Genomic DNA, 15,605 nt, shown 5'->3' on the forward strand with positions numbered 1-15,605 from the left:
GACAAGGTTTCACCATGTTGGCCAGGCTGGTCTGGAGCTTCTGACCTCAAGTGATCCACCCGCCTTGGCCTCCCAAAGTGCTGGGATTATAGGCGTGAGCCACCACACCTGGCCGAATGTGTTTGTTTTTTTAAGCTAAGTATTATTACAAAAGAGTCAAAAAGTTAAAATTTAAAAGTTCATAGCTGGGCACCATGGCTCACATCTCTAATCCCAGCAGTTTGTGAGGCCAAGGCAGGAGGATCACTTGAGCCCAGGAATTCAAGACCAGCTATGTTACCAAGAGGCAACATAGCAAGACTCCATCTCTACAAAAAATTTAAAAATTAGCCAGGCGTTATGGAATGTGCCTGTAGTCCCAGCTACCTGGGAGGCTGAAGTGGGAGGACTGCTTAAACCTGGGAGGTGGAAGCTGTAGTGAGCCAGGATCTCACCACTGTGTTCCAGCCTGGGAGATAGAGTGAGACCCTGTCTCAAAAAAAAAATTTTTTTTTTTTATAAAAAGAAAAAGTTACAGTAAGCTAAATTTAATTTATTATTGAAGAAAGAAAATATTGAGTCCAGGAGCTGTGGTTCACACCTGTAATCCCAGCACTGTGGGAGGCCAAGGCAAGAGGATTGCTTGAGCTAGGAGTTCAAGATCAGGCTGGGCAACGTGGTGAGACCTCATCTCTATAAAAAATAAAAAAATAAAGAAAATACCATTTATAAATTTAGTGTAGCCTAAGCATACAGTGTTTATAAAGTCTACAGTGGTGTATAGTGACATCCTAGGCCTTCACATTCACCCACCACATACTCAGTCACTGACATAACCTAGAGCAAGTTCTAGTCCTACAGACTCCATTCATGGTAAGCGCCCTGTATAGGTGTACTTTTTTTTTTTTCTTTTTAGATAGGCTTTCACTCTGTTGCCCAGGTTGGAGTGCAATGGTGCAATCACAGCTCACTGCAGGGTTAACCTCCCTAGGCTCAGGTGATCCTCCCACCTCAGCCTCCCGAGTAGCTGTGACTACAGGTGTGTGCCACCATGTCCTGCTAATTTTCTATTTTTTGTAGAAATGGGGTTTTGCCGTGTTGCCCAACGTGGTCTCGAACTCCTGGGCTCATACCATTCACCCACCTCCACCTCATAAAATGCTTGGATTACAGGTGTGAGCCACCACACCGGAACAGATGTACCATTTTTTATCTTTTATACTGTATTTTTACTGCACCTCTTCTATGTTTAGATACACAACTACTTACCATTGTGTTACAATTGCCTGTAGTATTCAGTACGGACATGCTGTACAGATTTGTTGCCTAGAAGTGTTACACAGCCTAGAAGTGTTACCAGTGGAGGGTGTCCAGGTTTTTGGAATTTGAACAATGATTTGGACAAAGCACACAAAGCAAGGAAAGAATGAAGCAACAAAAGCAGAGATTTATTGAAAATGAAAGTACACTCCACAGGGTGGGAGTGGGCTGAGCATAGGGGCTCAATAATTTTCCTATTACAGAATTTTCTGGTTTCCCATTGTCCACTTGGTGTACCCCCTATGTAAGTGAAGTAGTGGCCCACAATCAGTCTGATTGGTTGTGGAAAGCAACCAATCAGAGGCTGAAGTGAAGTTACAAAGTTAAACTCCTAAGCAAAAGAAGACTTGGCTTGCAATCAGTCTGACTGGTTGCGGAAAGAAACCAGTCAGAGATACTTTCAATTTTCCATTTGCCACGCATAAAAAGGGGAGGGGGGTTGCAAAGGGAGTGGCCTCTGGTCCTTTTGTTACTTAGTTTTGGAAAGTTGGGGTTTTCCTTTAGATTTAGTTCTAGGAAGTCAGTGTGAATCAGCCTTAGGTTACCTGCCACCAGACCCTATTCTCCTGCCTCAGAAACAATAGGCTACACCATATAGCCAAGGTGTATAATAGGACACATAATCCAGGTTTGTGTAAGTACACTCTGATGTTTGTACAATGATGAAATCGCCTAACAATACATTTCTCAAACATATCTCCGTCATTAAGTGATGTATTTATTTAATGATAAAAAATTTATTAAAACGTTTATTTGATATTTAAATACTAAAAGAATTTTTCAGCACCACCAAAGCTTTTCGTGTTTCTTCTTTTTGTCAAGCTATGAATAATGTAGGAGGTGACAGCTTCCCTCATAATCAAATATAGTAAAGAGATGTATTTTTTAATGGTAATTGAAAAGATTCACAATAGAGTCAGTGAAGAGATAATAACTAATGCACAAAGAGGACGTACACTCTTTCCACCTACCCCCCAGTTTTTATATGTATAAATAGGACAGGCTTTGCTCACAGGCAGACAATGGGATTATCTGCATGCATAATTTGAATAGCCAGCAAGACATTCACACTTGATCACATCTGATATTTGAAATGCTACTATTTCCAATCTATTTCTTTGTACTAAGCAGAATACCTTTTGAAATTTACAGACACATAAAAGGTATAATATATCAAATCCCTAGTTCTCCAGTGTGTATTATATATTCATTAATTCAGTAAACATTTATTTATGTCCCCAGAGTGCCAAGTCAGAGATCGTTAGATGAATGACACAGTACCTGTCCTCAAGCAGTTCACTTTCTAGTAGACTGACAGATATGAAAACAGACAAAACTATAACCAAATGTCAGCTGGGGTTTACCTATATCTTAAGATCTCTAGATAAAACTAATTCAAACTCCCTTCCACCCACTGCCTAGAATTCAATCGCTCATCCAATAAGTTTTATCAATTTTGAAAGGTGCGACTTATATTTTTATGGTCACTCTCATCTCTAACCTTTGACTCTTGCTAAACTACCCCTGTTGAGTGATTGTCTTAGCATGAGACTTCTGTTGTCCCAGTTTGGCACTGCTTCGACTCAAATGTTAAGCCTGGCTGTTTTCCTTGATTTTCACAACTTCCATACAACAAATCCTTCACACAAGACTGTGTGTGTGTGTGTGTGTGTGTGTGTGTGTGTGTGTGTGTGTGTGATATAAATAGGTTCAGGGAGAACCAGGGATTTATATGCTGGAAATGTGAACAACCTATAAGTTAGCATGAAATATTCCTTTTCGTAAAGATCCATTTCTGCATGGGTCCTATTATCATGGAGCTCACTGGTTAGAGAGGGGCAGCCAGACAGTAAACAACTCACTTCACAGGTACTTAGTTATAATTTTATTAGATGCTTTAATAGGATAAATGTTGTTCTGGTTATGTAGAACAGGGGTACCTGGACTAGGATGCAAGGCCTAGACCAAATTCTTTGAGGAAGCAACATTTGATGAATGAAGACTTGTGGAGAAGGATGATTAGAAATGATTCAGCTAAGAAAATAGGCCAGGCACAGTGTGGCTCACGTCTGTAATCCCAGCACTTTGGTAGACCAAGGTAGGAGGATCACTTGAGTCCAGGAGTTCAAGACCAACCTGGACAACATGACGAAACCCCATCTCTACAAAATATACAAAAATTAGCTGGGTGTGGTGGCATGTGCCTGTAGTCCGAGCTACTTGGGAGGCTGAGGTGGAAGAATCACTTGAACCCAGGAGATTGAGGCTGCAGCGAGATGTGATTGCACCACTGCCCTCCAGCCTAGGCAACAGAGCAAGACCCTGTCTCAAAAAAGAAAAGAAAACAGTACGAATGGAAGCTTGAGGTAGAGGAAGAATTTGGCTTGTATGAGAAATTTAAAAAACACCCATATGCTTAGGGAGCGAGATTAAGAATAGTATATACGGCTGAAGCAGAGTTAGATCACGTAGTACCTTGTAAATTGGGTTAAGAATTTTGGATTTTTTCCGAAAAGCTGCTTCAGATATATCAATACAGTGCTATGGGTAGTAACCAAATACTTGGAGGAAGTTGAAGGGGTGACAGCTGGCTCATCAAGTCTTGCAAGCAAGTTAATAAGCATATCCCCAGCAGAAGCATCGGTTTGTAGAAAGACCAAGAGTTTTCAATGGGCCCAGTTAGGCCAGGAAACAATGAGTACAATGTGATAGGAACACAGAAAATGTATATCATGGCAAGAAAAGAGACAAGAAGGTAAACTGAGGCCAGATTACAAGCAGTCATGGATGCCTTCCTAAGGTGCTGGATGCTGGGGGTTTATCCTGTAAGCATTGAGGTAGGGGCATGACACAAGGAGGCTTGTGGTTTAGAAAGATGACTCTGGGCATTTTCATCATCATCACCATCATCATCATCATAACAAAGGTACCCAGCACATTGAAGAGGCAACCAGTGGTGGACAGTGAGGTGCTTTAGAGGTAAATGATGAAGGCTAATAAATGCCTTAGTAGCTAGCAATTAGGAACAAGAGCTAATTTAAACTTCACACCAAAACTAGGTGAGGAAATTATAGCCCAGTCCCACCTGAACATAGATGGAGAAACTCAACAAAAATTCTGGCCAGGCGAGGCAGCTTATGTCTGTAATCCCAGCACTTTGGGAGGCCGAGGCAGGTGCATCACCTGAGGTCAGAAGTTTGAGACTAGCCTGGCCAGCATGGTGAAACTCCATCTCTACTCAAAATACAAAATTAGCTGGGTGTGGTGGTGCATGCCTGTAATCCCAGATAATTGGGAGGCTGAGGCAGGATAATCTCTTGAACCGGGGGGGTGGGGGTTGCAGCGAGCCGAGATCGCACCACTGTACTCCAGCCTGGGCAACAAGAGCAAAACTTAAAAAGAAATTCAAGTGAATTGAATCCAGAAAAGTGTGTGTATGCATATATTATATATTATATATATAGCATATATATAAAATATATGTAGTATGTATATAAAATACATTGGGACCAAGCAAGGTTTATTGCAGGTACACAGGGCTAGTTCAATGTCAGAAAATCTACCAATAAAATTCACCACCTTCATGCAAGACAAACCAAAACAAAACAAAACAAAACCCAACATCTTAACAAATGTTGTAGGATGAATGCAGAAAAAGCATTTATTAGTCCATGATAACAATTTTTATCAAATAAGAAAATAAAAGTGAACTTCTTAAAACCTGTTAAAATGTTTATCAAGCTCTGTACCTAACAATGAAACTTTGGAAGCCAACACATTAAACTCAAGAACAAAACAAGGATGTTAATTTTATGAATAGATTGGTCCAGGTTACACAGCATTAATAAACAATCCCAAAATCTCAGTGGCTTAGGATTTAGCATTTTTTCTTTCTTTTTTTTTTTTTTTTTGAGATGGAGTCTCGCTCTGTTGCCCAGGCTGGAGCACAGTGGCGCAATTTCCGCTCACTGCAAGCTCTGCCTCCCTGGTTCCCACCATTCTCCTGCCTCAGCCTCCCGAGTAGCTGGAACTACAGGCGCCTGCCGCCACGCCCAGTTAACTTTTTGTATTTTTAATAGAGACAGGGTTTCACATTTAGGCAGGATGGTCTCGATCTTCTGACCTTGTGATCCGCCTGCCTCAGCCTCCCAAAGTGCTGGGATTACAGGTGTGAGCCGCTGCACCTGGCCAGGATTTAGCATTTTTTTCATACTATATTCCATCTCAGGTCAAAAGGGGATCCTGCTTCATGTTCTCACTTCAGGACCCAGGCTGATGGCTATCTGGAAAATACCCAACAGAAATGTGTGTACGTATATACATATATGTTCTCCAAAAGATATCTACTTAAATGTTCATAGCAGCACTACCCCAAAGAGTCTAAAATACAGAACTATCCAAATACCTATCAACATATCAACAGTATAATGGATAAACTGTGTTTATGTTTGCACAATGAAATACCACTGCTTTAGTTGGGATATTTGACCCTCCAAACCTCATGTTGCAATTTAATCCTCAGTGTTGGAGTTGGGGCCTGATGGAAGGTGTTTGGGTCATGGGGGAGGATCCCTCATGAATGGCTTGATGATCTTCCCATAATGATGAGTGAGTTCAGGCTCTATTTGTTCCCATGAGATTTCACCTGAAAGCGAGCTGTTTAAAATAGCCTGGTTGACCAGTGCTCAGTGGCTCATGCCTGTAATCCCAGCACTTCAGGAAGCCGAGGTGGGAGGAGTACTTGAGGTCAGGAATTTGAGACCAGCCTGGCCAACATGGTGAAACCCCATCTCTAGTAAAATACAAAAAATTAGCTGGGCATGGTGGCGTTCACCTGTAATCCCAGCTCCTCGCAAGGCTGAGGCAGGAGAATCCTGGAGGCAGAGGTTGCTGTGAGCCGAGATAATGCCACTGCACTCCAGTCTGAGCAACAGAGTGAGACTCCATCTCAAAAATAATAATAATAATAAAAATAAATAAATAAAATAAAATAGCCTGGCACCTTCCCTCTTTCTGTTGCCTCCTCTCTCACCATGTGCTCTCTGCATATGCTGTCTCTTCTTCCCCTTCCACCATGAGTGGAAACAGCCTGAAGCTCTCACCGGAAGCAGATTCCCGCACTATGCTTCCTGTACAGCCTGCAGAACCTTGAGCCAAGTAAACCTCTTTTTTTTTTTTTTGATGGAGTCTCACTCTGTTGCCAAGGCTGGAGTGCAGTGGCATGATCTCAGCTCACTGCAACTTCTGCCTCCTGGGTTCAAGCGATTCTCCTGCCTCAGTCTCCTGAGTAGCTGGGATTACAGACACACAGCACCACACTCAGCTAATTTGTGTATTTTTAGTAGAGATGGGATTTCACCATGTTGGCCAGGCTGGTCTGGAACTCCTGACCTCAAGTGATCCTCGGCCTCCCAAAGTGCTGGAATTACAGGCGTGAGCCACCAAACCCGGCCTTTTTTTTTTTTTTAGATGAAGTTTCACTCTGTTGCCCAGGATGGAGTGCAGTGGTGTGATCTTGGGTCACTGCAACCTCTGCCTCCTGGGTTCAAGTGATTCTCCTGCCTCAGCCTCCTGAGTAGCTGGGATCACAGATATGCACCACCATGCCCAGGTAATTTTTGTGTTTTTAGTGAGAGACCGGTTTCACCATCTTGGCCAGGCTGGTCTTGAACTCCTGACCTCAGGTGATCCACCTGCCTTGGCCTCCCAAAGTGCTAAGATTATAGGTGTGAGCCACCGCACCCGACCAAACCTCTTTTCTTTATAAATTATCCAGTCTCTGATATTCCTTTGTAACAACACAAATGGACTAGGACAACTACACAGTAATGAGAATGAAAAATGCACAAATACATGCAACAATATGGATGAATCTTGAAAACAGAATGTTGAAGCAAAATCAGACACACAAGAGCATGTTCTGTATGATTCCATTTCTGTGTTATAACAAGCAAAACTAATTTGTGATATGAGAGGTTCACAAAGTGGTCACACCTGAGGGTAGGGTACAGAATGGAAGAGGACATGAAAAGGCCTTCTGGAGTTCTGGTTATGTCCTGTTTCTCCATCTGGGAGATGGTTACATGAGGGTGGTTAGTATGTTAAAATTCATTGAGCTGTACATTTATGATACATATCTTTTTATAGATGTGGATTATGCTTTTATGTATGTATACAAAGTTAAAAAAAAAAAAAAAGGAAGCAGTTCCAGACTTCTTTACAAAGTGTAGGCTCCTAATTCCCATTTAGCAAAGAGAACAAAGTAGTTCATCTACAGGTTTTTGTGTAAACAGAAGTTTTAGTTTCTCTTGGATAAATGCCCAGGGGTGCAATTTCTGGGTCAAATGGTAGTTGTGTGTTTCATTTTGTAAAGAAAAAACTGTCAAACAGTTTTCTAGAGTGGCTGTATCATTTTACATTCTCATCAGCATTGTAAGAGCAATCCGGTTTCTCTGCCAATACCTGATGTTGTCACTGCTTTTTATTTTAGCCTTTCTGATAAGCATGCCATGATCTCATTGTGGATTTAATTTGCATTCTTCTAATGAGTAATGATGTTGAACAGGAACATGCTTTTATGTGCTTATTTACCATTTTTATATCCTCTTTGGTGAAATATCTGCTCATGTTTTTTGCATGTTTTCTAATTGGATTGCTTGTGGGTTTTTTTGTTTGTTTTTTGGTTTTTGGATTGCTTGGTTTTTAACTGTTGAGTTTTGGGAGTTCTTTATATAGTCCAGATACTACTCTTTTGTCAGATATGTGGTTTGCAAATATTTTATTTCTGTAGTTTGTCTCTTAAAGGGATCTTTTACAGAGCAAAAGTTTTTAATATTGATGAGGTCCAGTTTATCAGTTTTTCCTTTAACGTGTCAAACTTTTATTTAGTGTGAGATCTAAGAACTAGGTTGGGCATGGTGTTGCGCACCTGTAATCCCAGTGACTCGAGAGGCTGAGGCAGGAGGATTACTTGAGTCCAGGAGTTCAAGACCAGCCTGTGCAACATATCAAGACTTCATGTCATATTAAAAGAATAATAATAATAATAATCAAAAACACTTTGCCTAGTCCTAGATTCCAAAGTTCTTTTTCTAAAAGTTTTATAGTTTTCTGTTTTACATTTAAGTCCATGATTCATCATTAGTTAGTTTTTATATGTGGCATGACATTTAGGTCAAGGTTTATGTTTTGCCTATGAATGTCCCAAGTAATTCACTTTTATTTTTTATTTATTATTATTTTTAGACAGGGTCTTGCTCTGTCACCCAGGCTGGAGTGCAGTGGCACGATCTCAGCTTATTGCAACCTCCACCTCCCAGGTTCAAGTGATCCTCTTGCCTCAGCCTCCCGAGAAGCTGGGACCACAGGCATGTGCCACCATGCCTGGCTATATATATGTATATGTATATAAATATATATGTGTGTATTTTGTAGAGACAGGGTTTTGCCATGTTGCCCAGGCTGGCATTGAGCTCCTGGGCTCAAGCAATCTGCCTGTCTCAGCCTCCCATGGTGCTGGGATTACAGGTGTAAGCCACCATGCCTGGCCCATAATTCAATTTTTGTTTTGTTTTGTTTTGTTTTTTTGAGACAGAGTCTCACTCTGTCACCTGGGCTGGAGTGCAGTGGCATGATCTTGGGTCACTGCAACCTCTGCCTCCCGGGTTCATGCGATTTTCCCTGCCTTAGGCTCCTTAGCAGCTGGGATTACAGGTGCGCGCTACCATGCCCACCTATTTTTATTGCATTTTTAGTAGAGACGGGTTTTTGCCATGTTGGCCAGGCTGGTCTTCAACTCCTGACCTCAGGTGAACTTCTGCCTCGGCCTCCCAAAGTGCTGGGATTACAGGCGTGAGCCACCACGCCCGGCCTGTAATTCAGTTTTAAATAACACCATCTGAAGGCCACCAAGAGTCCAGTCCCAGTAGGAATATTCCAAACCCAGTCATTTCTTCTCATCGTTACTCTAACATGCAGTGGAAAGGCTATCAGGCCAGCATGTGCCTGCTGGCACCATCGACTATTGTGATCTACTGTGAGCCAATACTTAAATAAGAAGACATATCTTTCAATAACAAAAAGTCAGATTGGTAGACAATTCTTTTTTTTTTTTTTTTTTTTTTTCACAGACAAGGATTCCCAGGCTCAAGCAATCTTCCTGCCTCGGCCTTCCAAAGTGCTAGGATTATAGGCATGAGCCACCATGCCCTGCCTGACAAATCTTGAGTCAGATATTAGTAAAACAAAGAATATATTTGCCCAGTTCTTTTAGGGCATAGTCCTGCTAAAATGCACCTAATGTGTGTATTTAGGGTACTTATCATAATGGACATCTGTAATTGCTTTTGGCTGCCCAGCATCTGAACCCACTTGCTAGATTCGGGACATCTCCCATTATCTAGGTCTTGGTGGGAAGTAGGCTCTGACCTCTAACTTTAGAAGCCTAAGGGATGAGATTCACCCTCTACTAACTCCCCTGACAGCCTTGTGACCCAGATTTAGCCACTATGTACTTTGTGTCTTGAGTAAGCAATGCCAAGATGAAGGGATGATAAGTGATATTGGATCTGTGGTAGCTCTAGTATTAGCAGTTTGGCATTGAGGCTGTGTTTATTGTGAGTAGTGGCTGCCTACAGTGGCCATTATGTCAAATACTAGAGATGTCCTATGTTGGTGGTGGCAGCAGCATCTCCACCAGACTGTTCCTGCCACTCCTACTCCCTTGGTCCCAGCCAATTGTTTGAGAATGTTTTCATCATTTCTCATCACTTCTGTGAGTTACATAAACCCTTTTCTTTTCTTTTCTTTTTTTTTTTTTTTTGAGATGGAGTCTTGCTCTGTTGCCCAGGCTGAGTGCAATGGTGTGATCTCGGCTCACTGCAACCTCTACCTCCTGGGTTCAAGCAATTCTCCTGCCTCAGCCTCCGGAGTAGCTGGGTCTACAGGCATGCACCACTACACCTGGCTAATTTTTGTATTTTTAGTAGAGGCAAGGTTTCACCATGTTGGTCAGGCTGGTTTTGAACTCCTGACCTCAAGTGACTTACCCGCCTCGGCCTCTCAAAGTGTTGTGATTACAGGCATGAGCCACCACTCCTGGCATATAACACTTTTCAGTAAATTCATCTTCTATTTAATTTAGCCAGAGTTCACTTCTAACAAGCAAGATAGTTGATATATCAAGAATCCTAGCTGGGAGCTGTGGCTCATGCCTGTAATCCCACCACCTTGGGAGGCTGAGGCAGGTGGATCACCTGAGGTCAGGAATTTGAGACCAGCCTGGCCAACATGGTGAAACCCCAAATATACTAAATATACAAAAATTAGCTGGGCGTGGTGGCGGCCACCTGTAATCCCAGCTACTTGGGAGGCTGAGGCAGGAGAATCTGTTGAACCCGGGAGGTGCAGTTTGCAGCGAGCCGAGATGGCACCATTGCACTCCAGCCTGGGAGACAAGAGCAAAACTCCGTCTTACCAAAAAAAAAAAAAAAGAAAAAAAAAGAAAAAGAATCCTCACTTTCAGCAAATTAGCATAAAGCAGTGGTTGAGAGAGCTTCTACTGTCAGAGTTTCTGATTCAGTAGGTCTGCAGATGACCTAAGAATTTGCGTTTTTTTTTTGTTTTGTTTTTTGTTTTTTAAGGCAGAGTCTCGCTCTGTCGCCCAGGCTGGAGTGCGGTGGCGCGATCTCGGCTCACTGCCAGCTCCGCTTCCTGGGTTCACGCCATTCTCCTGCCTCAGCCTCCCGAGTAGCTGTGATTACAGGTGCCCGCCACCACGCCCGGCTAATTTTTTATATTTTCAGTAGAGACGGGGTTTCACTGTGTTAGCCAGGATAGTCTAGATCTCCTGACCTTGTGATCCGCCCGCCTGGGACTCCCAAAGTGCTGGGATTACAGGCGTGAGCCACCGTGCCCTGTCGAGAATTTGTGTTTCTAACAAGCTTCCAGGTGATGCTGCTGGTCAAGTGTTCAAAGGTATGCTGCTGGTCATCATCAGATGTTGTGATTTTATAATTTTCTCTCAAATGTTGCTGAGTAGCATTCTATGAACATACCATAGTTTGCTTATCCATTCATCTGTTAATGGACGTTTTGGTTGTTCCCAGTTTCTGGGTATTACAAATAAAGCTTCAATAAATATTCATGTATAAGTCATTGTATGGACATATAACTACTTTTCTCTTGGATACATACCTAGGCATAGAATGGCTGGTGTATGTGTAACTTTTTTTTCTTTTTTTTTTTTTGAGATGGAATTTCACTCTTTCGCCCAGGTTGGAGTGCAGTGGTGCGATCTTGGCTCACTGCAACCTCTGCCTCCTAGGTTCAAGTGATTCTCCTGCTTCAGCCTCCTGAGTAGCTGGGATTACAGGCATGCGCCACCACACCTGGATAATTTTGTATTTTTAGTAGAGACAGGGTTTCTCCATGTTGGTCAGGTTGGTGTCGAACTCCCGACCTCAGGTGATCCACCTGCCTCAGTCTCCCAAAGTGTTGGGGTTACAGGTGTGAGCCACTGTGCCTGGCCGTATTTCATCTCATATATTGATTTTACCTCATTCACCCTGCTCCAGGCACTCCGACCTTCTCTCAATTTTTTTTAAGTTTTTTATATTTATTTATTTTTATTTAGCGATGAGGGCTAAGTATGTTGTACAAGATGGAGTGTAGTGGCTATTCACAAGTGCGCTCATAGGGTACTGCAGACTCGAGCTCTTGGCCTAAAGCAATCCTCCTGCCAAGCCTCCCAAGTAGCTAAGACTACAGGCACATGACACCACACCCAGCTTCTTTCAATTTCTTGATCAAGCCAAGCTTTTTCACAATGTAAGAGCTCTTGCCCCTCTTTCCCTCCTTCCTTCCTCCCTCCTTCCCTCCCTCTTTCCTTCCTTTTTTCCCCTTCCTTCCTTCCTTCCTTCCTCCTTCCCTCCCTCCCTCTCTCCCTTTCTTCCTTCTTTCTTCCTTCCTTTCTTTCTTTCCTTCCTTCCTACTTTTTTTCTTCCTTCCTTCTTTCTCCTTCCTTCCTTCCTTTCTTCTTTCTCCTTCCTTCCTTCCTTCTTTTCACCAGTGTCATAGTAAGCACTTACTTTTAATTTTAACCTAGTGAGTGAACCAAGCACTTAAATTTACTCTAAGTGCAATGGAAACCTATAGACAAGTTTTTAATCAGGAAAATGATATAAATTGATTTAAACTTTCAAAAGATCTCTCCTGACTCTGAATGGACTATAGATTATAAGGGGATAAGAATGAAAGTACTGTGACTAATTAGGAGGCGTTTTCAGCAATTCAATGAGAGATGACAATGGCTTGTATCACGGTAGAAGTAGTGCCAACGGTGAGAAGTACTCAGAGATGAGAAATATTTTGGAGGTCGGGTGCGGTGGCTCACGCCTGTAATCCCAGCACTTTGGGAGGCTAAGGTGGGCAGATCACCTGAGGTCAGGAGTTTGAGAACAGCCTGGCCAACATGGTGAAACCCCGTCTCTACTAAAAATACAAAAATTAGCTGGGCATGGTGGTGTGCACCTGTAGTCCGAGCTACTTGGGAGGCTGTGGCAGGATAATCACTTCAAACCAGGAGGCTGAGGTTGCAGCGAGCTGAGACCACACCACTGTACTCCAGCCTAGGCGACATAGTGAAACTCCATCTCAAAAAAAAAAAAAAAAAGTTTTCCAGTGACGGGAAGCAAAAGAAGGAGAAGTAACTTAAAGAGAATACGCATCAGAAAAAAGGTTTTATGGCCAGCCATGGTGGCTCACTCACACCTGTAATCCCAGCACTTTGGGAGGTCAAGGCAGACGGATCACTTGAATCCAGGAGTTCGAGACCAGCCTGACCAACATGGTGAAACCCTGTTTCTACCCAAAATACAAAAATTAGCCAGGTGTGGTGGCACATGCTTATAGTCCCAGATACTTGGCAGGCTGAGGCACGAGAATCGCTTGAACCCAGGAGGCAGAGGTTGCGGTGAGCCGAGATGGCACCACTGCACTTCAGCATGGGCGACAGAGGTTGACAAGAAAAGGTTTTTGCTTTGTTTCGCTTTCTCAGATGAGAGATGCTAGCCCATCTTTGGGATCAGAAATCAGAAGTTATTAGAAAGAGAGAGATGATGGTGTGGAGAAGGAAGGATTAGATCCAAAGGGCAGGAGTGAAATGAAGGAAGGAGGGACACTCCCACTGTTGAAACTGGAAGGAAGAAAAAAAAAGTACAGGTGCAGATTGAATCATAGATTTGGGAATCAGGCCGGGCGTGGTGGTTCAAGCCTGTAATCCCAGCGCTCTGGTGGGCAGATCACCTGAGGTCAGGAGTTCCAGACCAACCTAGCCAACGTGGCGAAACCCCATCTCTACTAAAAATACAAAATTAGCTGGGTGTGGTGGTGGGCATCTGTAGTCTCAGCTCCTCGGGAGGCTGAGGCACAAGAATCGCTTGAACCTGGGAGGCAGAGGATGCAGTAAGCCAAGATCATGCCACTGCACTCCAGCCTGAGCGACAGAGTGAGGGAAAAAAAAGGATGAAAAAAAAAAAGATTTGGGAATCAAAAGATAAGCTATTTCTGGTAGTCTCTATTTTCCCGGAGAAGTAGGCAACACCCTCAGTTGGGAGTAGAGGGTTGTGGAAAAGACGTGGAAGTTCAGAGAAAAAAAGTAGAAAGTTGAGAATTTGTAAAGTAAGGAAGAAAATAATTTGGGAAAGAGGATGTATAATATAGGAAACTGGGCCAGGCACGGTGGTTCACGCCTGTAATCCCAGCGCTTTGGGAGGCCGAGGAGGGTGGATCACCAGGTCAAGAAGTTGAGACCATCCTGGCTAACACAGTGAAACCCCGTCTCTACTAAAAATCGTACAAAATATTAGCCAGGCGGCTGGGCGTAGTGGCTCACGCCTGTAATCCCAGCACTTTGGGAGTCCAAGGCGGGCGGATCCCGAGGTCAGGAGATCGAGACCATCCTGGCTAACACGGTGAAAACCCTTCTCTACTAAAAATACAAAAAATTAGCTGGGCGTGGTGGCAGGCGCCTGTAGCCCCAGCTACTCGGAAGGCTGAGGCAGGAGAATGGCCTGAACCCAGGAGGCGGAGCTTGCAGTGAGCAGAGATCGCGCCCCTGCACTCTAGCCTGGGTAACAGAGCAAGACTCCGTCTCAAAAAAAAAAAAAAAAAAAAAAACGAAAAAAAACAAAATATTAGCCAGGCATGGTGGCACGTGCCTGTAGTCCCAGCTACTCGGGAGGCTGAGGCAGGAGAATCACTTGAACCCAGGAGGTGGAGGTTGCAGAGAACCAAGATTGCACCACTGCCCTCCAGCCTGGGTGACAGAGTAAGACTCAGAAAAAAAAAAAAAAAAAAGAGGAAACTGGCAGGAAAGAGGTCATGCTGGGGTGGACTATGAGAGGCAATAATTCGAAATTATATCGTGGAAATGCTTCAACCTCTACCAAGACCTACTTCAAAAGGAAAATCTTGTGTTGAGTAGCAGTTAAAAATGGAATAAGATATCAGACCTTCAACCAAATAGTTCTTAATAGCTCAAAACTACTATAGGATAGCAATTTTATTCCCAAATTATTCTAGAACTGAATATCTGAAACTCAGTGACCAAAAGCCAGTCAACCAATCTTCCACAGCCTAATACACACACATAAAATATACCTCTGGCATTACATTATAACTTCCCCCATCAAACAAAACAGGAAGAGTGGTTATGTTGGGCTGATAGTGTAAGATGGTCTGTCATGTAGCGTTTCCGTTATATTCTGAATTTGAGTTGGTATACCATGTGACAGTTCTTTATATATATGTTTTCAACACCGCTATGACAAGAGTGTCTTTCTGTTTTTGCGTCAGTGTCTCATGAAAAGAAGACATAAAGAATATTCAAAAGAAATTTTAAGAATCTTTGTTATCTGAAGGTCGTATCTTTAGTGCATGTTCTGTCTCTCATAGTTGCTAAACTCTAGCTGCAGCTCTTCTCTCAGAGAACTGCTCTGTCCTGCCCATCTATCCCATTATGACTTTCAGTTGTGAGATGAAGATATCTGTTTGAGAAAAAAAATTGGTTCCTCTAAATAGAGAAATGTCCAAATAGCTACTTTAGTCTCTTCTTTAATCTCAAGTTACATCAGAGAAAAGATTTCAGCATGTATAAAACATCCATATCTACAGTGACCTTGGTGTTTTTCTCAATGCATAAATCATCACATTTCTTCATTTTCTAGTGCATGAAATAATTAAACTTAAAATATCTTCTTTAATTCTAGACACAATTAATTCAATGCTATTATTTTTTATTTATTTAT

General features: G+C 42.7%; 1 protein-coding gene across 2 annotated transcripts in view, besides 1 other annotated feature; it reads left to right on the top strand.

Moving 5' to 3' along the window:
• The window catches only part of ACYP2 (acylphosphatase 2), a 334,188-nt gene that overhangs the window by 8,765 nt on the left and 309,818 nt on the right, over positions 1-15,605 (top strand). The window lies entirely within an intron of this gene.
• Positions 7,703-7,752: a silencer, noted in NCBI's record as "silent region_11484". NCBI's record gives its function as "represses an Ori minimal core promoter by ATAC-STARR-seq in GM12878 lymphoblastoid cells {active_cell/tissue: GM12878}" and the evidence as "EXISTENCE:reporter gene assay evidence [ECO:0000049][PMID:35858748]".

Source organism: Homo sapiens, chromosome 2 (genome assembly GCF_000001405.40).
Source record: "Homo sapiens chromosome 2, GRCh38.p14 Primary Assembly".
Taxonomy (NCBI): domain Eukaryota; kingdom Metazoa; phylum Chordata; class Mammalia; order Primates; family Hominidae; genus Homo; species Homo sapiens.